This window comes from Homo sapiens, chromosome 7, assembly GCF_000001405.40.
Source record: "Homo sapiens chromosome 7, GRCh38.p14 Primary Assembly".
In the NCBI taxonomy this organism is placed as follows: domain Eukaryota; kingdom Metazoa; phylum Chordata; class Mammalia; order Primates; family Hominidae; genus Homo; species Homo sapiens.
In genome coordinates this window covers 105,852,926-105,879,451 of record NC_000007.14, presented here as the reverse complement: position 1 = coordinate 105,879,451, position 26,526 = coordinate 105,852,926, and the positions used below count along the sequence as shown (strand labels likewise).

Here is a 26,526-nt window from a genome sequence, read left to right as displayed (position 1 = left end):
AGGATTAAGCTCCTCACTGGCTGTTGTATTGAGGGCCTCAGTTCCCCACTGGCTGATGACCAGAGGCCTCCCTCAGTTACCTGCCACACAGTCCTCTCCATAAGGCAGCTTACAACATGGAAGTGGGCTTCCCTTAGAGCAAGACAGGGCATGCAAGAGAGAGTGAGAGCAACAGAAGTGACAGCAGTTTTGTACCCTAACCTCAGAAATGACATCCCACCACTTTTGCTATATTCTCTTTGTTATCAGCAAGTGACTAAGTCTAGCCCACACTAAAGAAAAGAGGATTACACAAGGGCATGAACACCAGGAGGTACAGACCTTTGGGGCCACATTAGCTGCTGCCTACACCTTCCTTGCATGCACAACAACACAGGAATAAACATCAAAATAGATAATAAATAGAGGGAAAATAGGGAAGCAGAAGGGAAAGGGAAAGTGTTCCAGCATCTAATTACTCATGCCTCAGAGCTCTCGCATTCTCTCTCCCCACCTCTAAATCTAGCCCAACAGCACACCCTCTGATCAGGTGCTCTCTTCACAGTCTCACACCTGTCTCCTCTTCTCTACCTGCATAGCACCACCAAAGTTCAGGCTTTCATCTCTTCACACCATGAATATTGCAGCACTACTTTTCTAACCAGGCTCCGTACTCCAATCTTTCTAACTCACACTTTTAACTTATCTTTATGGTACAGAAAGCCCTTCAGTAGCTCCCCATTGTCAAACAAAATCCAGACTCTTTAGGCTGCCGTTTGGTGCCTTCCATAATTTGATCCAGGCCTGGGTATCAAAATGCATCACCCCCAAGCCCCCAGTAACAATTCTCCATCCCAGGCAAACCATGCTCAACACCCAAACACACCATGTTTATACTCAGCTTGAAGCCTCTGCTAATACCATTATTCCCCCTCCCTCCGCAAGACCAGTCTTCACCTTACCATTACAAATCTTTGGCAATTTCCAAGATGCAGAGCAGAGCCCATCTTCTGTTACGCAGTTTCTGTTCACTCCTAACTAGATTTCGGTTCCTCTATGAACTGGCACAGCTGAGAGACCACCCCACCCACTGCACAGGCCAGTCCCTGTGTACCTGCCTGTTTTCCCAAGGAATCGGTAAGTTTCACAACTTCCTTCTTCCAGAGACCACCAGACTGCATCTCTGTGAGGGTGAGGATGGGTCTCACTCATCTTTCCCTCCTGACAGGAGGGCACAGCTGTTCCATGACAGGCAATATTGGTTGACTTAAGATGGACAGATGGAAGGAAGGAAGGAAGGAAGGAAATGTCAAGCCCAGGGTCTAGCATATAACAAGAGGTCAACAAGTAATACATATTTGTTAACACCACCAATTCTTACAATGGGAATTCTTCACCCAGCGACACCTTAGCTATGTAGGAGCCCTTCGAAAGAGAGCAAAGGCAAATGCAGTTTATCTGAGTCTGACACAAACAAGCCGACTCACACAAACATCACAACTAAAGGCAAATCCGCAGCTCCTCCTTCATCGCCCATCCTAACACTGGCTTAGCGATACAGGGTGCCAAGCTCAGGGAAATTATTAGATGGTTCAGCCAGGGCAGAACTCAGTCAGTACAAAGCAACTTCCAATCAGTGCGCTTCAGCTGTGACAACTTGGGAAACAGCAGTGGTGAGAGCTAAAAGGGTGCTGGCGAAAGAGAAAAAAAAATATGTCGCTTGTGGGGTGAGGGCGGTGTCCATATAGTTTAGATAATTCTAGTAAACAAAAGGATTTGTTAAAAAGAAGTAACAGAAGACTTTTTAAAGCCTTCTTTAAAGGGTGAAAATCTCAACTAAAGCACCCAACGTCCAAAATCCAGAGGAAATCTAGCGCTCCCTTTCTAGCTGGCTAGAGCAGTTAAGCCTGAAGTGAATTCTCCCAGGAATCAGATTCCTGGCCAAAGGTTGCCTGCGCAAACCCGGGCCACCCTCGTCTCACGGCAGGGAGCGCTGGAAACGGCTCAGGGGCTAGGCCCGTTAGCGTCGTCTTCCAAGAGCCGTAAATTCGCCCTCCCGCTCTGCTGACCCTGGAGCAAAGTCCATGCAGTGGTTCTCTGAGAGCCGGAGATACGCACCGCGCGGGGAACCCGGGGGTCCGGGGGCCCTAACTTTTGAGTTTTGCACGCCCCGCAGCCTGAGATGGGAAGGTAGCTCGTAGCGCTCCAAACTCACCTGCGTTTCAGAACGACATCTACCCACTGGTTTCAGCTCCTAGAGCAACAACTGCAGAATCTCCATGGTCCAAAGTCCTCCAGGAAAGAGAAGAAAGGGGTGACGGGGGTGAGGGCTGGGAGGCGAGGTCACCAGGGTCCCTTCCCTGGCTCGGGTGGGGGTGGGGGGCGCAACCCCTCACGGCTCCTCCCCACCAAGCCGTCGGGACCCCAGCGGGGGCGCCTCGCGTTGGGCGACAGGGACGCGGGGAGAGAGCGACAAGCTGGAAGCAAGGGCTGCCTGCAAAACTTTCGGTCCTCCAGCGGCAACTCTGCGGGAAAGACCACCCTTCCTTCGGCCCCGCGTCGGGCCTATCCCCGTGTGCCCCGACCCCTGCGCCCCAGGCTTGGGCGGCGCCGCTGCATCCCGGCTGCCGGGCGCGCTGCAGCCTTCGCTCTCCCGCACGCGGCGCTCGCCCGTCCGCGCTGCCCCTCCCCGGCAGGCGGGCGGCCCCGGCGGGCGGGCGGGCGCGGACTGCAGGTGCCTCTCTGCTGCCCCTGGCGGCCGCGGGCGCGCGAGCCCCACCGAGCCGGCTCCGGGAGCCCGAGCGCCCGCCCCTCCTCCGCTCCCTCTCCCCTCCTCCTCCGCCGCCCTCCTCCCATCCCGCCCTTCCTCCCTCCCTCCCCCTTTCAGAACACTCAATGTCGGAACGTTCCGAAGATGACGTCGGAGCGTTCTCGAATCCCGTGTCTCTCGGCTGCTGCTGCCGAAGGAACAGGGAAAAAGCAACAAGAAGGAAGAGCAATGGCGACACTGGATCGCAAAGTGCCCAGTCCGGAGGCGTTTCTGGGCAAACCCTGGTCCTCCTGGATCGACGCCGCCAAATTACACTGCTCCGACAGTAAGAACCCCACCACCTCCTCCTCCTTTTATTATCCTGTAACCTTTCCATTCACCTAGAGCCACTGGGAAAAAGTGTGTGTGTGAGAGAGAGAGTGGCCCCCGGTGTCCTCCATGCTTCTCCCTCTCTCTCTAAATAAATACACACAGAGACAGATCATCAATGCACAGGGAGAGGCCCGGCTGCCAGGGCTGTCTGTCTGTCTGTGCCCGGCTCCCCGTGGCAGCCCGCGGGGTGGGCTCGCAGCCCCACGGTGTTGTCCGTTTAAAAGGCTACTTTGTTGCTGCTTGCATAGTTTTTTGGGTACCTATCTGGGCCAGGTAGATGGAAACCCAGACTTGGGAGAAAATGTTGCATTGTCAATTTTTGAAAGAATTTCATATACAGTATTTATATCGATCTGTTTGCAAATAAACACTCTCCCTCCCCCCTTGACTTTGGCTTTTTTCCCCCCTTTTTTCCTTATTTTCTGTTTTCCTTTTCTTTTTCATCTGCAGATGTAGATTTAGAAGAGGCTGGAAAAGAGGGTGGAAAAAGCAGGGAGGTTATGAGGCTTAATAAAGAAGGTAAGTGGAGCTACTGGCATTTTAGTGTTAGCATGTGTGGCAGAATCTTCACAGGATTTCGAATATAATGTGAATTGTTCTGCTGGGTACAGAGTGACTAAGGCTTGTCAAAAATTGAGCACGCCCAGGTGACTACTGCTTCATGTTAACTTCTTTCAAAGTATAAATACAACTGGGGGGGGGGTAAAGGGGGGTGAGACTGTTGAAGGCAGAAGTTTACTGCACTTCAGTTGGACTCCACGTTTGAACCTTCTGATGCATATCTGCCATTCTCCTTGGGAGCATCATTGCCAAATGGTGGGGCGTTAAAATTTCTGAAATGAAGAGTGGAGTTCCCTTCACAAGCATCCCAGCCTTTCTCGTGGGTGAATGCACAACAGCTTAATGAACCCCACATGGTCAGTCATTCCAGCAGCTACTTCTCCACTCACCACTGAAAACCATTGTACATGGCAAACCTTTGCAGCAAGTTACATTTGGCCCACTTTGCATTTGGTCACAGATTGTTATGTGGCAAGCAGGGTTAGGAGCATCTGTATGTGCAGCCCCTCAGCAGTCATCATCTCTCTTTTCCCAGCATGGAAATACGGTACCTGAAATGGGACACACTGAGTAGATAGGTCATCCCAGACCAAGATATGCAAGAGAAGCCACAACCTGCTGCAATTGGGCATCAAACACATATGGTCGTCATAAATAAATCATATCCTGTTCTCATTTGCAAGCCTGCCGTATGTAACTCTGGCCTATGGGCTTCAAATGGAGCAACTCCGGGGGCCACTTGCTGCTAAGCAAATAGGTGGATTCATTTGAATTGTGATTCACTAACTGATGTCTTATAAACATAATTGGCTGAAATTGGGGGTGGGAAGATGGCACAAGGGGACAGAAGAGGTTGGTGGTATTGAAAGAGTTCAGACATAAGTAGGCCATAGGTGCATTGGTCATCCCAAATGAATGGAGAAAAGGCCATTAGATGCCAAAGAATGGTCCCCCTCATAAAAAGGGATGTCACCCTGGAAGGCAGCTGAAGCCTGCGTGGAAAGATGGAACTCATTTTATGAATCAACACTTCAGATGGTTGGTTTTCTGTGCCCAATCATTTCCTGACCATCCACTGAGAGGAAATTTTGTGCTTCAGAAAAAATAACATGAAGGTTAAAATGCGTACATATTCAAGGACAGTTCCCTAGCATAATGTTTCTGCTAATTAAGCACTTTGGGAACAAAACATTATTCTAAAGATGTTTGCTTCTAAATATCTTAGTGTGATCTTGACAGGTGTCTTCAGGATGCACGAGGGATTGATGTCAAGTGGACTTCTTACAAGTGGCAGCTTATTTGTGTTAAATGTTCATGTGTGTTGGCAGTGGGAAGCATCACTAGAGATTATTTTTCTTCACACACAAACTCTTGAGATCTCTAAGTGCTTGCAAGACCCAGTTATCAGGCTACTGGCAACGTGTCCATAAAAGATGATGAGGCTGTGGAAATCTTTAAATTAAAGTTGAGTAAAGGTCATGGTATAGCACAGGATTGTCACCTCTCAGGTCTGGGTGATGCGTTATGACTATCACACACAAAACTCACATCCTTTCCCCCCAGTCCCTGTTTCTATTTCAGAAGACTGTTGTTCTCAGATTCTCTTTGCCTCATGAGAAACAGATTTTTTTTTTTTTTTTTTTTTTGATACGGATTCTCACTCTGTCGCCAGGCTGGAGTACAGTGGTACGATCTTGGCTCACTGCAACCTCCGCCTCCCGGGTTCAAGCGATTCTCCTGCCTCAGCCTCCTGCATAGCTGGAACTACAGGCACGTGCCACCACACCCAGTTAATTTTTGTATTTTTAGTAGAGACGGGGTTTCACCATGTTGGCCAGGATGGTCTTGATCTCTTGACCTCGTGATCTGCCCACTTGGCCTCCCGAAGTGCTGGAATTACAGGCATGAGCCACCGTGCCTGGCTGAGAAACGGATTCTTTTAAGAAAAAATGAAAAGCTCTCCTTTCCTCAGAAGTCACAGGTGGTACATCCCGCTTATTAGGTCCTTTGTCCTATAAAGGTACGAAGATTTAGCTCCTAATTATACATATTTGCATTAAGGACACCCACTGTTCAGTGTAACTTGAAATTGCTAACTTCACCAAAATAGCCATATATGGGCTGAAATCTCTTTGTTCACAGGCCTGGTGGAACAGACTTGGGTGAGCAATTCCTGATGGTCTTTCTGGTATATATGCATGCAGTTTTCTTTATAGATAAAATATCTATATACTGAATACGTATTCCCCCATGGTGAGAAATTGAAGGGTTGAGCTGAGACAGGGTGTTTATTTGGTTACCTGGATCTCCAGTAATGCTTGCCATGGGCCCTCTTTTTGGAGTGATCAACAAAGTCCTGGGACGGATACATGTTTGTGGATGGGTCACTGCAGGACACAAAGTAGCCTGTGTGTGGCTGTGTACCTGTGCTTATGAATGTATGTAGATTGTCCATGACACTGTTGGCTTTAAGCAGGTCTTGAGAAGAAATTCGGCTTTAATGGGAATGAATGAACAAAATACAGTTTAGAAATTCCAACTGGGAATTGAAGGGAAGTGGTTCCGATTTTTGTTGTTGTTGTTGTTTTGTTTTGTTTTGTTTTGTTTTGTTTTTTTGAGACGGAGTCTTGCTCTGCCGCCCAGGCTGGAGTGCAGTGGCGCAATCTCAGCTCACTGCAAGCTCCGCCTCCCGGGTTCACACCCTTCTCCTGCCTCAACCTCCCAAGTAGCTGGGATTACAGGCGCCCGCCACCAAGCCCGGCTGATTTTTTGAATTTTTAGTAGAGATGGGGTTTCACCGTGTTAGCCAGGATGGTCTCGATCTCCTGACCTCGTGATCCACCCGCCTCGGCCTCCCAAAGTGCTGGGATTACAGGCATGAGCCACCGTGCCCGGCGGGTGGTTCCGATTTTGATGTTTTTTTTTTTTTGTGGTAAAATATACATAGCATAAAATTTATCATTTTAACCATTTTGAGTATACAATTCAGTGGCACTAAGTACTTTCATAATATTACACAACTATCATCACTTTCCATTTCCCAAATTTTCCATCATCCCAGTCAGAAACTCTGTACCCATTATGCAATCACTCCCCATTCCCCATTCCTCTCAGCCCTGGTAACCACTGTTCTACTTTCTGTCTCTATGAAGTTGCCTATTCTGATACCTCATATAAGTGGAGTCATACAATCTGTATCCTTTTGTATCTGGTTTATTTCACTTCGCATCTCTTCATAGCTCATCCATGTTGTAGCATGGATCAGTACTTCATTCCTTTTTAAGGCTGAATAATATTTCATTGTGTATATATACTACGTTTTGTTATCCACTTATCTGTTGGTGGACATTTGGGTTGTTTCCATATTTTGGCCATTTTGAGTAATGCCACTATGAACATTGGTGTCATATATTTTTAATAGACTAAACTCAGGAAGAGAAGTTAGGCTGGAAATGTGAAATAAGAATTATTTTGGTTTGGCCAGGCATGGTGGCTCACGCCTGTAATCCCAACACTTTGGGAGGCTGGGGTGGGTGGATCAGGAGGTCAGGAGATCGAGACCATCCTGGCTAACATGGTGAAACCCCATCTCTACTAAAAATACAAAAAATTAGCCGGGCGTGGTGGCACGCACCTGTAGTCCCAGCTACTTGGGAGGCTGAGGCAGGAGAATGGCGTGAACCCGGGAGGCGGAGCTTGCAGTGAGCCAAGATCGCACCACTGCACTCCAGCCTGGGCGAAAGAGCGAGACTCCAGCTCAAAAAAAAAAAAAAATTATTTTGGTTTCTACCTCTATCTGGCCACAACTTCAGAAGACACAGCAAGGACTTGCAGACTTTTTGAATAACTTGATTACTGTAATACAGTTCCCCATTCCTCACCCCTTTAAACTTTCTTTCAATTCTTTCCATTTCTTTCAGTTCTCCACCTATAAAGTATGAAATGTTAACTGGATGCTTTGAAATGTCTGTAATAAAGTTTTCATGTCATTGTTATTATTTCATCTAAAATTAGCTAAATTATAGCTAAGAGGAATTTGCCAATTTTTTTTTTTTTTTTGAGACAGAATCTCGCTCTTGTTGCCCAGGCTGGAGTGCAATGGCATGATCTTGGCTCACTGCAACCTCCACCTCGTGGGTTCAAGCGATTCTCCTTTCTCAGCCTCCCAAGTAGCTGGGAGTCCAGGCATGCGCCACCACGCCCGGCTAATTTTGTATATTTAGTAGAGATGGGTTTCACCATGTTAGCCAGGCTGGTCTCGAACTCCAGACCTCAGGTGATCTGCCTGCCTCAGCATCCCAAAGTGCTGGGATTACAGGCATGAGCCACTGCACCTGGCCCCAAATACTTTTGAATGTTGTCATCACCTGGGTTCAGAAGGCGTTGCTAGATCCATGGGTGGATATGCTTAGATGGGCTTATATCCAGGACAACCTGGGTACTGGAAGGAGCAGGATAGCACTTTGAGTCAGCTTCCTACATTTTGATCTATGCCCTTTGGAAGTCGTTTCACTTCTCTTGGCCTATTTGCCCATATTTAAAGAAAGGGGGGTGGAACTGAATGTCCTCTAAGGTCCCTTTGAGACCTCTGAACCCAAGCTTCTCTATTGAATGTACCTTCCTTTGAGATGCAGTTATAGCAGGCAAACTGTTTCTAAAGAAACTTAAAAAAAAAAAAAAAAAAACCCAAGCCCTCACATTAAAAATATCTTAAACTACTTCAAAAATAACTGGGTTTATTTTCTCAATTTATAACTTCTTGGTGGCAAAAATCACTGCATCTCATACACAAGCAATATTCTGCTGCAAATCATTTGTGAATGGTATTTGGCCTTCAGCATTCCGAGAAAAGTGGGGTTCTGAGTCCAAAACCCAATGTGTTCCCCTAGTGAGGAATGATTTGACCCCAGTCAGCTTGGATCAGTCAGGCATTCAGATTTCCTGAGAGGAGGACTCCCAGAAACCTTATTAGCCTAATCTGTGAAAGGTGTTTATGAGAGAAAATTCCAAGGACGGCCATTCTTCTGTGCTAACCTTTTCAAATAATTTCCTCCTCAGCTTTTTCAAGCTAATTAGGGAAAAGCTCTCAGTGATTTAGAAAGATGTTCCCCTTGCCTCACCTGAATTTTTTTTTAAAGAATACCAATTCATAGATAAGGAATAGGGTTCCTGTGCCTCATAAGTGTCCCTAACTATAAGACAGAAAAGAATAAGGTTGTTGTGATGATTAAATGAGATAATACAAAAGGGCTTAGCACATAGTAAGTGCTTAATGAATGTTGGCTTTTACTATTATTATCATTATTAATGAAGCTAGCTCTAGAAAACTTTATTCTAATTAGGATTTTAAACTAATCTGTGATGAAAAGAAAAGATACGTAGCAGAAACTTTATTTTTAGAGTAAACCATTTTGTTGTAATTTTATGACACTAATGATTTTTTAAAGAAACAATTTCTATGGATATCAAATTTTTTTTTTTTTTTTTTGAAATGGAGTCTCCCTCTGTCACCCAGGCTGGAGTGCAGTGGTGCGATCTCAGCTCACTGCGACCTCCACCTCCCAGGTTGAAGTGATTCTCCTGCCTCAGGCTCCCGAGTAGCTGGGACTACAGGTACCCACCACCACACCTGGCTAATTTTTTTGTATTTTTAGTAGAGGCTGGGTTTCACCGTGTTAACCAGTATGGTCTCGATCTCCTAACTTTGTGATCCGCCCGCCTCGGCCTCCCAAAGTGCTGGGATTACAGGCATGAGCCACCGCACCCGGCCAGATATCAATGTTTTTAATAGAGTGCAGTTAAGTGATCATTGATAAGTTTTATCAATAGCTGTCGAATAATACTTAGGCTGTATATGGCCTATGGCTAAGAAGAGTTTATACAAAGTTCTTTCTAGGGACTGGGAGATCTAAAAAACTTTTTTCAATGATCGATAAGTTGTTTTATTTTATCACTGAGAAAAAAAAAAGTCCTGAATAGATTCCTGTTTGGGTCTCTTGGAAGCCTACACTTGTCACTTTGAAAACTTGCCTGTGTTTTAACGTTCCCACATGTTTTGATGTGATGTAGATAAACTGGTGGAAAGTTTCCAATTTGAAAATTGTGCTGGGGCCAGTAAGATATTGCTGTGACTATAAGAGTTTGCTGTTCTTCTGAGATGCTGGTGGAATTGGGCTGGAATATAGGAGGGTGCAGAGAACATAGGAGCATGTTCAGCTCAGGCTTAGGAGTCTTGCAGTTGTGGCTGGATGGGAGCAAATTGGAGAAGGTGGCAACTGACCTGGTTAAGAATGAAGTTTTCTTAGAATCCAAGCCAGAGAAGCCAGCAGCAGGCCATGGAGATTTATGGGAAACTGCGAACAGCTTCCCTTTATCATTATAGACAACTCTGTTATCTATGTTAATAGGAGATGGGAAGACACAAAGTCCACAGATTACACAGATAAACCTCATTTTTACCATTAATTTCAACTTCATTCCCCATTAAGCCTACCTTCCTCCCCTTTTGCTAACAAGCAGTAACATTTGTTCACTTTGGCGTTACATTATCATCTCTCTTATCTGGCCCAGCTTTTGGGATGGAAGGATGGGAGAGATGGAGCGGCTTAAAGGTGGTAGGGAGGAAAGATGAGACGGAGAAGGGAAGGGCTTGGAGACCTATAAGCTCTACAGGTGCAGCCCACTGATGGAGCAGGGGCATGCCACAACCAACACAACACAGATGAGAAAGGACATCCTGATCATCTAGTTTGGAAAATACAAAGCTTCCAAAATGAGTATTTCTTTATACATACAATTATTTCCTTGTGCCTGGGTTCCCGTGTGGAAGAAATGTGGCTCTGTCTACTTCCACAACAGGAAGCTAGAATGGACACACGGAAACACTGTATATGATAATTTGCCTTCTAAGTTGCCCTGTACCAGGGTCTCATCCTGTATCATTCTATGAGAATAATGTTTTTACTGCTAGAAGATGTAGACCATTACACACACATACACATTCATTTTAAAACTACTTATTTTTTTTAATAATGTTCATGTTACAAAATTCAAAAGGCTATCCAAGTGGAAAGTAAGTCTCCCTCCCACCCCATCCCCAGTTGCTTGTGTATTCTTCCAAAGATATTCTGTGTGCATTCAAGTAGATACATATATAATTTTGTCTTCTTGTTCTCACGTGAATGATAGAAACCTATAGTATTAGCTGATATCTTGCCATTTCCATTTATCTTAGAGAGCTGTCCATGTCAGTTCATGAGAAGTCGCCATGTTCTCTTTTGGTGCCTGCATAGTAGGGTAACAATTTAAGCCTCTGGGTGTCTTGCCAAGTTTTTAATACGCTCAACTGTTTCTCAGCCTCCCTTATGTGTTTGACCTGGAGGGAGCTCTCCTGACGTGCCAGAACTGGGCTAGACACCAGGGACACAGCAGTGAAAAACCACAACCCCTGCCTGCCCTCAGGGTGCTTCCAGCCTGGTGGCGAAAGTACAGGTAGACCGCGATGAGTGCTCTGATAGGGAAACTCAGGTGCTGCTGGAGGTCATGGTGGGGGGGCCTCACTGAGGTAGGGGCTCAGTGCCGGCCTCCCAGAGGAAATTTTATGTAAGCTAAAACCTGGAGGATACAGGAAGTTACCCATGTGTAGAGCTGGGCAGGACAGAGTTAGAGGAAACGACAGGGATAAAGGCCCAAGTGCCAGAGAATATAGACTGTTCTGAACCTAAAAAGTCCTCTTGCTGGAGTAAAGATAGCAAAGCACACAGTAGTATAATATTTCTCACCAGTGGCACCACTGATGGTTTGAGCCAGATGCTTCTTTTTGGGGGCGCTGTCCTGTGTATGGCAGGATGCTGAGCCGCATCTTGCGCCTCCACTTGCTAGATGCCAGCAGTGTCTCCCTCCCCTCCCCCAAGTTTAGACAACCAAAAATATCTCCGTACATTGCCAAATGTCCCAGGGGGACAAATCGCTCTGATAGAGAATCACTGGCTGGTGAGGCTGGAGAGGTAAGAACACAAGAAAAATAGACTAAGATACAGAAATATTCTGCCAATATCTGTCCATGTGTTAGGCCTTCAGCCCATGTAAGTCAGCCTTGTCGATTACTCAGCAGATATACCTGTACTGTGACTATCCCCTGGCGCTGAGCTACATTTGGGAGGATCTAAAGAGAGAGAAGCCTCGGTCCCCCAGGGAACCCTCCTCCCAAAGTTCCCAAGATGACTCTTCCAAACCTTGGAGTCCAGTCTGCAGTCACTGGTGACAATAGTGAGTTGCAGGTTCTAATTCTGGGTGGCCCAACCCTCCTTCACTGTGGGTGGAGGAGACCCAAAGCATCAATTCTGGTAATGATGGCATTTATTATACAGTGGCCCCCGATGTCAAAAGTACCACATCGCATTGGTGAAGCAGTAAGGATTTCAGTTTATATTTAAAGTCAGGCTGAAAATACAACTGGCGTTCTCTGCAGTTTGATTACCCACGGGATATGTCTGAAATGGGGATGCACATGACGGAAAGCAAAGTGGCTGCTTTCATGATTTCCATGTTAAGCCTGGGAAGGTACAAAGGGCAGGGGAGGGTCTGATTCCTGAGGCCTTCTGACCTGTGTGCCAGGTGGTCTGCAGCATCAGTTAAGACTGTGAGGCCATGTTGATGCTTTCAGCCGGCGGTTCCCAGGGGCCTGCCGTCTCTGCTGCAGAATTGATTTAGAAAAGTTAGGCAGATTTGTTTCTGTATGGTTTTCCGGGTTGGTTGCATTTATATCCTTCAGGTTAACGTTTCGTTTATGACATTTTGTTTCATTCATGACATATTTCAGAAGTAGGCATAAGATGGTAGTACTCAATGCAGTGAGACCTTGTCCTGGTCAAATCCCTCTTCTCTAAGGACCCCACACACTGAGGTGGCCCACTATTCACATCTGGAGACAGTGGTCACTGAGTGATTGCAATAATCAAACATAGCCGTAATGGAGAGGGAGAGCTTTAGCCAGTGGGTTCTACTTTTTCAGAATATTGTAGGAATGGCAAGGACTGACTTCTGTGTGTGACTGTCTCCTAAATCTCCCGGTCCAGTGTTCTGCTGATTACGTGCTCCCAGCTGATGCCGTTTGGCTGGCATTCTCTTACTCTCTCCTGTGGTAGAGCTCAGACTGCCAAATGGACCTGGATTTGGACCCTGAGGCGCTTGAACTAATGATGAAACCTCAGGAAATCCCTTCTTGCAAGTGGGCTGAGGCTACAGCGGAGCATCCTTAATATTCAGGGGCTAGACCTGGCTGCCCTAGTCGTCTATAAGTGAAGCTGGAATTCTGCTGTGGGGAAAGCAATGTTTTTATGGAGACACTTTATCCTTGTACCTGTGGTTTCTCAACACAATTCTGCTTGCCAATTTTAAGGGATCAAGTGCTTACAGAAGAAATGGAAACCAAATAAATACTCTCCAGGGCAGGACGAAGTGGCACCAGGTCACCATAATGGGGAAGATAAAAGTGAGTCGATGACAGGCTCTTTGAACACAGAAGCACTTACCGGTGTACCTGATTCTGTGATGCTAATTGTAAATCTGTGAACATTAATGGTGTAAGGATACCCTTAACTGTAGGGGGAGTGTGAGTTACGTGACCTTACCTCAAGGCATTGACAGGCCACAGAGTCCTGGGGTGGGGTGGGGACACAGGACACCCAGTCCGATGATATTAACCACAGGTGAGTTCAGCATTCCAGGGGTATGGAAGATGCTGGAGACATGGTCCCAGTTTGGTTATATCAGACCAAGGTGATAGTCCAGTTCTCAAAAAGTATATGAGTCACAAAAGGACAAATACTCTGTGATTCCATGTATAATGAAGTTCCTAGAGTAGTCAGATTCATACAGACAGCGAGTAGAATGGTGGGTATTCAGGGGCTGGGGGAGGGGAAACGGAGAGTTAGTGTTGCCATGATACAGAGTTTCAGTTGGGGAAGATGCAAAAGTTCTGGAGATGGACTGTGGTGATGGTTGTACAACATTGTGAATATACTTAATGTCACAGAACTAACCGTACACATAAAAAATGGTGAAAATGGCCCGGGTGCAGTGGCTCACGCCTGTAATCCCAGCACTTTGGGAGGCCAAGGTGGGCAGATCACGAGGTCAGGAGATCGATACCATCCTGGCTAACACGGTGAAACCCCATCTCTACTCAAAATACAAAAAATTAGCTGGGTATGGTGGCACGTGCCTGTAGTCCCAGCTGCTCAGGAGGCTGAGGCAGGAGAATCACTTGAACCCGGGAGGCGGAGGTTGCAGTGAGCTGAGATCGCGCCACTGCACCCCAGCCTGGGCAACACAGCGAGACTCTGTCTCAAAAAAAAAAAAAAAGTTAAAATGGTAAATTTTATGTTATGTGTATTTTACCACACACAAAAAGGTTCATTGGCATTGCAGGCTTGGGAGTTTAATGGAGCATTATTTAAATCTTGACCATTTATTGGCTGTGTATTAAATTAAGCCTCAATTTCTACTTTTCTTTTCCAGAGTAGGAATAATAGTACCTATCAGAATTGTTGTGGAAATAAATGAGATGCTATCTGGTATAAAGTAGGTACTCAGTAATGGAAGCCTTTGTTGTGATGATCGTTGTTTTTACCGGGCACTTGGGTCTTCGCCTTTGTCTTAAGAGCTGCCACTTCCAGGGGACAGACTGCGTTCTTACTGCTCCGGGGGATGCCCGGGGCTCACCAGGCATCTTTTGTCAACTTGTATGTCTCCAGTTCTTTAAGGATGCCCCGAATAAAGACAAAGGGATTGGACTGGTGTCCCTGTACTGTTAGTTTCAAGAGTGAATCTGGGGCTGGGCACTGTGGCTCATGCCTGTAATCCCAGCACTTTGGGAGGCCCAGGCGGGTGGATCATGAGGTCAGGAGTTCGAGACCAGCCTGGCCAATGTGGTGAAACCCCATCTCTACTAAAAAAAATACAAAAATTAGCCAGGTATGGTGGCATGTGCTTGTAGTCCTAGCTGCTTGGGAGGCTGAGGCAGAAGAATTGCTTGAATTCGGGAGGCGGAGGTTGCAGTGAGCCGAGATTGCACCACTGCACTCCAGCCTGGGGGACAGAGTGACACTCCGTCTCAAAAAAAAGAAAAAAAAAAAACGAATGAATCTGTTTCAATGTTTTGCAAAGTGTGTTCATTCTGGAGACCCTGCTGTGTTGTCCTGTAGGGTACTTCGTGCCCCCGGCCCCAGGCTGGTCATACTAAAACGAAACAACCGGGAGTGAAGCACAGGAACCAGGAATGTCCTTTTTTTTTTTTTTTTTTTTTTTTTTGAGACAGGGCCTCTCTCTGCCACCCAGGCTGGAGTGCAGTGGCATGATCAAGCTCACTGCAGCGTCGATCTCCAGGGCTCAAGCGATCCTTCTACCTCAGACTCCTAGGTAGCTAGGACTACAGGCGTGTGCTGCCATGCCTGCCTAATTTTTTTTGACTTTTAGTAGAGACAAGGTCTTGCTATATTCCCCAGGCTGGTCTCAAACTCCTGAGCCCAGGTGATCCTCCCACCTCGGCCTCTCAAAGTTCTGGGATTACAGGTGTGAGCCACCACACCTGACCAGGAACGTGCATTTTAAACAGGCTCCTCAGGTGGCTCTGTTGTTTCCTGAACTTTGAGAACTACTGTTTATTGGTTGAGAGAAGTGGTTCTCAACCCTGCCTACCTTGAAAATTCCTTGGGAAGCTTTTTAAAAGCAAATATGCCAGGACCACCCACAGAGATTCTGATTCTATAGATCCAGGTTCAGGGGTTCTAGGGAGCTGCTTATGTATTTCCTTTTGGAGTTTTTTGTTTGTGTTTTAAATTTATTTTTCTGGTACCTTTTGGGCTAAACACAGCCCAACTTATGTGTTTTTTTGTTTGTTTTGTTTTGTTTTTAAGTAACAATCCTAGCTGTCTTTTATTGGGCATTAACTAGGTGCCAGGCACAGGGCTAAATGTGCATGTTCGCATTTAATCCTCATGACCACCCTGTGAGGCAAATCCTGTTATCAACCCTATTTCAGAGATTGGGAAGCTGAGGCTCAGAGAGGTCAAGTGATTTACCCAAGGTAACATAGCTGGGGAATAGTAGAGCTGCCCTGAACCCCAAGGCAGGCTGATTCCAGAGACTGTGCTCTAAGCACTGTGTCCTGATGTCTGTCATCCTAGGAGCAGGGTTAGGACTAAGGGGAAGCAAGCAGGCACCCAGGACACCTGTTTAAGGAGGGGCTCACGTGGGCTTCTGCAAGTGCGGAGTGAGTGCCCCTTAAGTGTTGCACCTGGGCACCTGACTTCACTCATCCTCTCACCATCCTTGGCCAAGAGAGCTTGTTCTTTAAGCAAAATGGCAAGGCTGAACTACCTTTCATTCCCCCTTGACTGTGTAAGCCAGTGGCCTCCTGATAGGGCCCTGGGTCTCCCCATCAGGGAAACGCTCTCTCATTCCAAGGCCCCAGCTTTGGGGCCTCTGTGGCCAGAGTCCTGGCCTCAGGGAAATCACAGGAGCTAATGCAAACTGTGTTCCTTTTTGGGAGAAGGTGTTAGCAAAGATGGTTGCCAAGCAACTCCAGGGGCGTCTATCTAGAGTGATGATTTCTCTCTTTTTCCTCCTTTTGAACATCTTCTAGGCCGCTGTTCAGTTTCCCTCATGGCATTGGGATTGTTAGTAATTTCATGAAGGGTGTGCTCTCTAGGATGATGGAGCGGAGATCACTCTTCAATACTGCCACATTAGAGGTGTCCTTTTGATGGTGATATGCCTGCTAAGTGGGTGTGAAAGTCCTTTACCTTCTTCAGCCACAGAGATGCCCTAGTTGTCACTGTCTCTGAGAGGGCAGTGACAAAGAGGATCCTTTGGATTGGAGTGGCTGGGAAAGGCACAGAATGCATCTCCCACATGAGGACAGGGCGATGTGGCAACATTTACTTCCCGTGACTTTGGATTTCACCCATTCTCCATTAACTGGGACATTTAAGCATTTTATAGTGATTGCCCTGCTGGTCCCAGAGGAGCTGGTGTCACCCCCCTGTCTCTCTCTCAGTGGTTTCACAGACCAGAAGAGTCCTTGACAGTCCTTTCCTCCTCAGTGCTGTCCCCTCTCCTAATTAATCACCTCCTCTGTGTGGGGTTTCAGGTGACCTTCGATGGGCCCCAGACCCCATTGTCTACCAGCTGGTGGTTTGATTCTTCTGATAAGGACCTGGAGCTTGTGGGTTCAAGCACCTTTTACACTTAATGGGACAGAATCCCAGCCAGACTGTCAAGAAGAGGGTGATCCACTGGAAAAGAGGAACTGGTCACATTTTTGGGTGGGAAGGGGCAGTAGCTCGGTCGCCCAGGCTGGAGTGCAGTAGTACAATCATAGTTCACTGCAGCCTTGACCTCCCGGGCTCAAGTGATCCTCCCACCTCAGCCTCCCTCCCAAGTAGCTGGGCCACAGGTGCACGCCCCCATGCCTGGCTAATTTTTTCTATTATTTTTAGAGACGGGGTCTCCCTATGTTGCCTAGGCTGGTCTCGAACTCCTGGGCTCAAGCGATTCTCCCACTGCAGCCTCCCACAGTTCTGGGATTACAGGAGTCAGCCACCACGCCCACCAGAACTGGTTACATTTGCTTAAGGTTGAATCCATTTGGCCAACCCATGTACAACAGCCCTGTTAGCCAAGTCCCCAGACTCCAGGCTTCTGTTCCCTTGAGTTACTCCTTCCATCATTGTGCCCTTCCTCATCATCTTTTGCAGAAGCGGGGCAGGACCCAGAGAGAATTAGGGACTCAGATGAGTCCTGCCACTTTCAGTGGCTGAGACAAAAGACTTAATGGCAGAACACAAACCCGGTACACAAGCCAGGTTTAAACAGAGTAGGGGCTTATTTGCTTTCCAAATGGAGTTACTGGGCATTTCTTTAAACAGTAGACAACCCTACAGCTTTTTGAAAATCATATTTGCTTCACAGAAGTTTTCATGGCACCCGCTTTTGTGCCCTTTCTGCCAGCTCCTCCCTTGGAGCGTGAGGCTTTGCCCTCGGTTTGCTCTGCATTTGCTCCGGACCCTGGCTCCTGTTCACACCCCAGGTGGTCCCTGTGTGTGGCGATTCTGACATGCCTGCAGCTTTCCTGACCTCTCCTCCACAGAGTGCTCATCCCACCCCCGGGTGCCGCACCAGACAGCCCCTCACAGATGTCATTGTGCATCTCAGACTCCACTAGACCCAAGAGCAAGCCGAGCCTGTGCGTTTTCCCCATCACTATCTTTAGAAAGACCCCCTCCTCCTCTCCTCCCTCCCTCCCATCTTAGCAATTCCCTGCACCTCTCCATCTCTCTCCACTCCCCCACCCCCATCCCAGCTAGCCTGCCTCATAGCCTACCTAGATTTTTATAATAGCTATTTAATTGGTCTTCCTGTCTGTATCTTCCCTGCACACCACTTCAAAAATTAATCTTCTGAAAATTCACATGTATCAGTTTGTTCCTCAAGTGAAAACCTCTCAGCACTCCCTCATCGACCAGTTAACACAGCATTCAAAGTCCTCAGTCCCTTCCTATCCGGACAGGTGGCCTGCCCTTTGCAGCAGCACTTTGGACAAGTGGAGTCCTTTCCCTGCCCCCTTCTCTGCCTCTGCCTGCCCTCTGCATCTAGTGTCTTCCCCTTCTCCCCTTCCCCTTGCCCCTCATCCTCCTTCCCCAGGGCCAGCCATACTTTCTAAGGAAGCCACCCTGCCGCTCGGGCCACCCCGCCTGGACCTTCTCCGCACCCTGTGCATGCTAGCCATGCCCAGCGTGTACTTTGCCCCCAAATCTCGCACCTCCTTGCACTGCTGCAGACTCTTCCCATGGTCCACATGTGTCTTGTCATCATAGCTGCATTAGAATCTTCTGGAGGCAAGGTGGAGGAAAAGCGATCATATCATCCCCTTTTCTTTCCTAAGTTATCTTTCAACCAGCAGTGTTATAGTTCGACTAAGCATCTTGTTTTTGAAATACCTGTATTGTCTTTTTCTTTTTTTAAGAAAATTGTGGTAAAATACTATACCATCTTAACCATTTTCAAGTGTAAAGTTCAGTAGTGTCAAGGACATTCACATGATTGTGTAGCCAATCTTCATAACTCTTTTCACCTTACAAAATTGAAACTTCATACCCATGAAACAACAGTTCCCATTTGTATTTTCATTTTTAAAAAGTCAGTCTGGAGATGGCCTATGAGGTTTTTTGATTCACCATCTGATATTTTGAAGTTGTCAAGATTCTAAGAACTGGAAGGACTCCTAAAGTTTCTGTTCAAGTGGATAGCTGGAGCTACAATGCAAAACACAGCTCACCTTAGGACATTAGCTCCAGCATCCTAGGTCAGCAGAGAAAATTCCATGAAAAAATGCTACCGCTGGGGTGCAGAGTCACAGACATCTTTGAGCACCTAAAGTTTTTCATTTAATATTCAGTAGTAACCCCCACTCTGCACCATTCTCTTTTTTGCCCTTGCAGCTCAGTGTTAAAATTTTTCACATGTATAAAAAGGTTGAAATAACGGTACCATGATCACCTATAGAATTAAACATTAGTTCACATTTTGTCTTGTTTTCATATATATATATATATATATGTATATATATATATATATATTTACATATAAAGATCTATCTGTATATATGTCTTATAAAGAAATATACAGGCCAGGCATCGTGACTCATGCCTGTAATCCCAGCCTTTGGAGGCCAAGGCGGGTGGATTACCCGGAGTCAGGAGTTCGAGACCAGCCTGGCCAACATGGTGAAACCCCATCTCTACTAAAAATACAAAAATTAGCCAGGCATGGTCACACACACCTGTAACCCCAGCTACTTGGGAGGCCGAGGTGGGAGAAATGCTTGAGCCCAGGAGGCAGAGGTTGGAGTGAGCTGAGATCGTGCCACTGCACTCTAGCCTGGCCAACAGAGCGAGACTCTGTCTCAAAAAAAAAAAAAAAAAAGAAAGAAAGAAAAAGAAATATACAGTCATGCATTCCTTAATGATGGGGATATGTTCTGAGAGTTATGTCATTAGGTGATTTTGTAGGTGTGCAATAGGCTATGCCATCTAGGTTTGTGTAAGTTCACTCTATGATATTCCCATTGGTATAACCTATTGCTCCTAGGCTACAAACCTGTACAGCATGTTGCTGTACTGAATACTGTAGGTAATTGTTGTAACACAATGGTAAGCATTTGTGTCTCTAAACAGATTGAAACATAGAAAAGGTACAGTAAAAAATATGGTATTATATACTCTTATGAGACCACTGAGTATGGGCCTGTTGTTGACCAAAGTGTCATTATGCGACTGTGTGTGTGTATATGTATATGTATGTGTATATATATATATTTATATTTCTGTAGCATTTGAAAATAAGTTATAGACATCACGACACTTCACCTTTAAATATTTATCATTTTTCCACATCTTGATTGTGCTACCTTGAGCTGTTCACTTAAATTCTCAGAGCCTCATCATACATAAATATGTATGTATGTTTTTGCTGAACTATTTGGTAAGTCACAGACAGCATGACACCCCTAAATACTTCAGCATGCATCTCCTAAAATTAGAGGCATTCTCTGGCCTAATCATAATACCAGTATCACACTTAGAAAACTAATGGTAATTCCATACTCATATCTGATACCCAGTTCTCGTTCAAAATTCACCTGTCATGCCCCCACCCCCAAAAGCTTATAGCTGCATTTTTCAAACTAGATCCTGTTATGGTTCATGTACTGCATTTGGTTGTTATATCTCTTCAGTAGCTTTTAATCTAGAACAGTGTCCCTCCCCCACATGTGTGTGAATATATGTATAATACATATTTCTATATATATGTATACATATTTTTATATATAAATATATAAAACATTGCCATTTAAAATGCTTCCTGTTCTGGTCTGTCTTGTCACTTCCTTGTGGTGTCTTACCTTGTTTTTGCTATTCCCTGTTTTTCTCCTGTTCTGGAAGTTTGAGCTTAAGTATCATTGGATTCAGACTCAACATTTTGGTGCAAATGTGTCCCAGGTGATTCTGAGTGCTTCATTAAGCATCCCATCCAGGGGTTACAAGATATCAGGGTGCCCTATTATTAGATATGGATGACTTCGTAAGGTGGTGACCACTGCTGCCCATTGCAAACGTTGTATTTTCCTTCTGCAATTAGCATGTCATTCTGTGGGTAATGCTTTGACACCCAGTGAATATCCTGTCCCCCAAAAGGAAATTTTGTGGAATCCTCTGGGCATTCATTGATGACCCTTGCCTGGATCAGTTATTTCTTTGGGGATTGTAGGATGGTCATTTTCAAATTCTGTCATTCTGATCTGCTTTTATTGGTTGACATTCTTCAATATAGAAGACATCTTTCCCATCAACAGGGGATGAACTATTAAATTCCTCCTAAAAGGGCAGAGTTAAGTTTTTCTCTTTAATTATCAGTGCTCATAGTAAGTAGTTGAACACTGATGATTCTTTTATTTTATTTCATTTTCATTTTTTGAGAGACAGAGTCTCATTCTGTTGCCCAGGCTGAAGTGCAGTGGCATGATCATAGCTCACTGCAGCCTTGACCTCCTTGATTCAAGCGATGCTCCCACCTCAGCCTTCCGAGTAACTGGGGCTACAGGCACATACTACCACACCACACCAACTTTTTATTTTTTGTAGAGACAGGATCTTGCTATGTTGCCCAGGCTGGTCTCCAACTCCTGGGCCTAAGCAATCCTCCTGCCTCAGCCTCCCAAAGTGCTGGGATTACAGGCATGAACACTGCACCAGCCTATGATTCTTTTTTTTTTCCCCCTGTAGCCTAATCTTGAAGGTGAAGGTGATGGCCTGTGATTCTTAAGCTAAGGAGGAACAAGGTTTAGGACTGGGTACACTAGAATTTCAAGAAGATGCTTGTATAGTGTGAAAACCACAATCAGTGGGAAGTCTTAGAGAGAAAGTGAGCTTTGTAGTACAAACCTCAGGAAGTAAAGTGTGATCCAATCTTGGTAGAGCATGAGTTTAAAAACATTGAGAAATATTATCCCACACAGTCAAGTGACCCTCTACTTTAACCTGGGGAAGGAAGAAGATAATTATACTTAAAATAATCCTTCTCCCACCTTTCAGAGGGAGCACAGTATTTAGCCTGGGTCTGGTGAACCACTGAAGTTAAATGGGAAGTCATGATGAGTGATGCTCTGCAAGTCAGAAGCCAGAGCTGTGCTTCCTGCATTGCTGACTGCGTAGAAAGTGACCAGTTGTCCAGGAGGTGGAAGGCCCTGGGCTGGGCTCTGTGTGGAATGTGAAGGTGGAACAGTGGCCCTGCCCTCTAGGAACTCACTTGCAGCACCTGGGAACTCTGATGTTGCTTAGAAAATGAAATGTGATTAGAATGCCTTAGAGCCCAGGGAAGGAAGATATCTCAGTCTATGGTCAGCCAGACCTTTAACCTGGGTCTCAGACCTTTGACTTAAAGGTAGAGGCTGTTTGGTTTGTGGTTTTACATGGGCCACAGTAAAGGATAGTTAGTAGGAGTCAAGTTAATGTTTGAAAAATGAATGAAAGAATGAATGAATGGACACCTCGTGCAGAGGCAACACAGCAGCTAGGATTTGGACATTCAGGGCATTGTACAGGGAAGGAAGAGCTTAAGCAAAGGCTTTGAGGGCTATGAGTTCCTCAAGAGGTTGCTTTTAGAAAAAGAAATTATGGTGAAACTCCATTAATACCAAAGAGAAACAGTTCATAATTTATTCCAGTTGTAGACACACTCAGTGCCTAACTCCATGCCGTCTTTTTTTGAAGTAGAGTTTTCAGAAAACAGCCTTCTGTTTTCTTTGGTAGTGTTAGTGTTTGTTTTGCTTTCTCCATTCAGGGTGCTGGAGGGAGAGTTATTTTCTCTCTCTCTCTCTCTGTCTCACACACACACACACACACATACACACACACTTTTTGGGTGCTGCTGACCAATTAATTTGTAAGTTCTTTTCTATTAGAATCAGTGTTGTGCTAGTAAATGTTTAACAATCTGCTATCTAAAAAAGTTAGTGCATATGGAAATATATGTTTATTATACATTTTACTGATTTAAAAAAGCTGTTTAGCATATGCTTTATAAAGAATAAAATATTTAAATTCTTTTTTTTTTTTTTTTTGAGACTGAGTCTCACTCTTGTTGCCCAGGCTGGAGTGCAATGGCACTATCTCGGCTCACTGCAGTCTCCACCTCCCAAGTTCCAGCGATTCTCCTGCCTCAGCCTCCCGAGTATCTGGAATTACAGGCTCCTGCCACCATGCCCCGCTAATTTTTGTATTTTTAATAGAAACAGGGTTTCACCATGTTGGCCAGGCTGGTCTTGAACTCCTGACCTCAGGTGATCGACCCGCCTCAGCCTCCCAAAGTGCTGGGATTACAGGCCTGAGCCACTATGCCCAGCCTAAATTCTTTTTTGTAGATTTCATATAGTCTATAGATTCTTACCAAATGCTTTGGTTGACTTCTGCCAAATTCTTATATCCCCAACCTTCCTAAGGTTTAAATTGACAAACAGGTGTAAACCCCACATAAGTATTGGTTGATATTTTCATTTAAGTCAGTGAGTAAGTTGAAAGGGAAAGAACAAAGATAAATGTTAAAACTTCACTTGATTGTTAGTGACGTGACTTTCTTGCTGAACTGAATAATGGTTTTCAAGTACTAAAAGAATATGTCCTCATTGTTTTGTAGTATTCACAATAAAGCTAGAGACATGATATACAGCTGTCCCTTGATATCGAAGGATTGGTTCTGAGACCCCAAATCCTTGGATTCTTATCCCTTATATGAAATGGTGTAGTATTTACATATAACTTATACAGTTTTTTCATAGACTTTAAATAATCTCTAGATTACTTATAATACCTAATACAATGTAAATGCTGTGTAAATAGTTGTCATTCTGAATTGTTTAGGGGATAATGACAAGAGGAAAAGGTCTGTACATGTTCAGTATAGACTCAGGCATCTTTTCTTTTTCTTCCACATATTTTTGATCTGCAATTAAGTTGAAACTGCAGATGTGGAACTCACAGATTCAGAGGGTTGACTATTCTTTTAATTTAACTTACATCATTAAAATTTTCTCCATCACTTTCTTAAATTTTGATAATCAAAAAAATAATAAATCATGCCCTGATTTGTAGTATGTGATGATTTCCATGGTGTAAACTCTCCTACCACTGCATTTCAAGCTGTCAATGTGATATCACAGAACTCAGAGTTGGGAAGAGATATGCATCAGCACACTGTTACGTAGGATATCCTCCATACAGATACATTAGATGGTAAATGACTTTGAGAGCAGGATTAAGCAACGTGTGGCCCATGGGCTGCCTGTTTTTAATAAAGTTTTATTGGAACATAGCCACACTCATTTTTTAATGTATTGTCTGTGCTAGCTTTTGCACTACAATGCCTGCATGGAGTAGTTGAGACAAAGCCTAAAATTTTTACTACCCACAGTGGCTCACGCCTGTGATCCCAGCACTTTGGGAGGCCGAGGCGGACGGATCACGAGGCCAAGAGATCAAGACCATCCTGGCCAACAGGGTGAAACCCCATCTGTACTAAAAATACAAAAATTAGCTGGGCGTGGTGGCGCACACCTGTAGTTCCAGCTACTTGGGAGGCTGAGGCAGGAGAATCACCTGAACCTGGGAGGTGGAGGTTGCAGTGAGCCAAGATCACACCACTGCACTCCAGCCTGGTGACAGGGTGAGACTCCATCTCAAAAAAAAAAAAAAAGAAGAAGAAGAAAAGAGAAAGTTCCCAACCCATACTCAAAGCATAGATAATAAGTGAAATGTAGCAAGATAAATTGGAAATGATGAGTTTTATATTCAATTGTAAGCTTATGTCATATAACTTTTAATAATTTAATAATTGGCTCACCACATTCCTGAGAATTTAACAATCAGCTCTTGTGAGCCTTTACAAGCTGGCCCCAGCTTACAACTGCAAAGCTTTGAGGGCTTCAGCTTTTAGTGCCAAAAATGAAGCTGTCACTATTAAGCAGCAGCAGCTGACAATACCAGATTGGAGGGGGAGCCTCACTAAGAAGGATTTGAACTGCTTGAAATTATGGTCTAATTGTCCATAGAAATCAGAAGAAAGCAATTTTGAGGTTAGTTTTCATATGATGGGGTTTTTGTGTTTTGTGTTTTTTTTTTTTTCCTCTATAAGGGTCTGGGGTTTGTTTTGGTTTTTCAAATGCTTTTTTTTTTTTTTTTTTCAGAGCTAATTTTCAAACCCAATACAGCATGCTTTTCTTACCAAATTTTGTGAGCATCTGTCTCGAGCCGTTCAGCCCCTGACAGACGCTCAGCAGCCTCCAGAACTCCCACAGATGTTGTGTGTCCCAAGAAAGGCCCACTTCCTGTTTCTGGCCACTAGCGGGAGGAGAGGTGGTCCCACCAGTTGCATTTTGCAGGGGTTTTCCTTGCCGCCATTTCCTGCCGGTTGCCTTTGAATGGATTACAGATGGTCAGAAAAAGACTTCTTGGCACAGTGAGAGGACCAGTCTCCAGTGCTTTGTGGGAAAGGATTTATAGCAGGATGGCAGTTTACGCCTACCAAGAATGGGCCTGGCTGCCGCGGCCTTATAGGGAAAACTGCCTGCCTGCAGAGATGGGCTCTGGGGGTGGAGGGAACGGCCAGGATGAAGGGGATGTTTAAATCGATGTGGCACCTTTCAGCCAGTCGGTGCTTAGACCGCCGCGTGTCCACAGATGTTAGGCCCCTGTGGAGGTGTCGGGCCCCGGGAAATGAGGTGCTGCTCCTGGTGCATCAAGCGCTTGTGGGAAGTATTATGAATCCTCATCTTTTCAGAGAGAGGTACAGCCAGGTGCTGTTGTTCCCTACCGCCCGCCCTTTTTGTTAAAGCCACAATATAGAGCACATTTAATTTGTTTTTGTTTTGTTTTGTTTTGTTTTGTTTTTTGAGACAGAGTCTCGCTCTGTTGCCCAGGCTGGAGTGCAGTGGTGCAATCTCTGCTCGCTGCAACCTCCGCCTCCCAGGTTCAAGGAATTCTCCTGCCTCAGCCTCCCGAGTAACTGGGATTACAGGCGCCCACCACCACGCCCAGCTCATTTTTGTGGGGCTTTTTTTGTTTTTTTTGTTTGTTTGTTGTTTTTTGTTTGTTTGTTTTTTGAGACCGAGTCTTGCTCTGTCACCCAGGCTGGAGTGTAATGGTGCGATCTCTGCTCACTGCAACCTCCGCCTCCCGGGTTCAAGTGATTCTCCTGCCTCAGCCTCCGAAGTAGCTGGGATTATAGGCACCTGCCACCACGCCCAGCCTAATGGTTGTATTTTTAGTAGAGATGGGGTTTCACCATGTTGGCCAGGCTGGTCTCAAGCTCCTGACCTCAGTCAGGTGATCTACACGCCTCGGCCTCCCAGAGTGCTGGGATTACAGGCGTGAGTCACTGCATGTAGCCTACATTTAATTTTTAAACTTTTAAAAATATATGTAACTTAAAATTTTAATACTTTAACCAGTTTAGAGTGTATAATTCAGCGTTACTAAGGACATTCACAGTGTTGTGCAACCATTGCCACTATGCATTTCCAGAACTTTTCTATCATCCCAAACAGAAACTCTAAACCCATTAAACAATAATTCCCCATTCCTGCCTCCCCTCAGCCTTGGTACCTGTTCTACGTTCTCTATTCTACTTTCTGTTCCTATGAAGTCACCTATTCTAATCATCTATTCCCCTCATATAAGGGGATTCATGCAGTGTGTGTCCTTTTGCGACTCGTTTCTTTCACTGAGCGT

General features: G+C 45.4%; 1 protein-coding gene across 3 annotated transcripts in view, besides 2 other annotated features; it reads left to right on the top strand.

The window, feature by feature from the left end:
• Positions 2,601–2,810: a silencer, noted in NCBI's record as "silent region_18524". NCBI's record gives its function as "represses an Ori minimal core promoter by ATAC-STARR-seq in GM12878 lymphoblastoid cells {active_cell/tissue: GM12878}" and the evidence as "EXISTENCE:reporter gene assay evidence [ECO:0000049][PMID:35858748]".
• ATXN7L1 (ataxin 7 like 1) overlaps positions 2,853–26,526 on the top strand; it is a 271,828-nt gene continuing 248,154 nt past the window's right edge. For 2 of the 3 annotated variants that reach the window (NM_020725.2, NM_001385596.1), the window contains exons 1-2: positions 2,853–3,074; positions 3,572–3,640. In NM_020725.2, the coding sequence (NP_065776.1) occupies positions 2,894–3,074; positions 3,572–3,640 (250 nt within the window). In that variant the 5' untranslated portion in view covers positions 2,853–2,893. The remainder of the gene's footprint in view (positions 3,075–3,571; positions 3,641–26,526) is intronic. The other variant, NM_152749.3, reaches the window with a different exon arrangement.
• Positions 24,804–25,553: an enhancer, noted in NCBI's record as "H3K27ac-H3K4me1 hESC enhancer chr7:105494345-105495094 (GRCh37/hg19 assembly coordinates)". NCBI's record gives its function as "activates a minimal SCP1, AML or CMV promoter by ChIP-STARR-seq in naive H9 embryonic stem cells {active_cell/tissue: H9 hESC(naive)}" and the evidence as "EXISTENCE:reporter gene assay evidence [ECO:0000049][PMID:30033119]".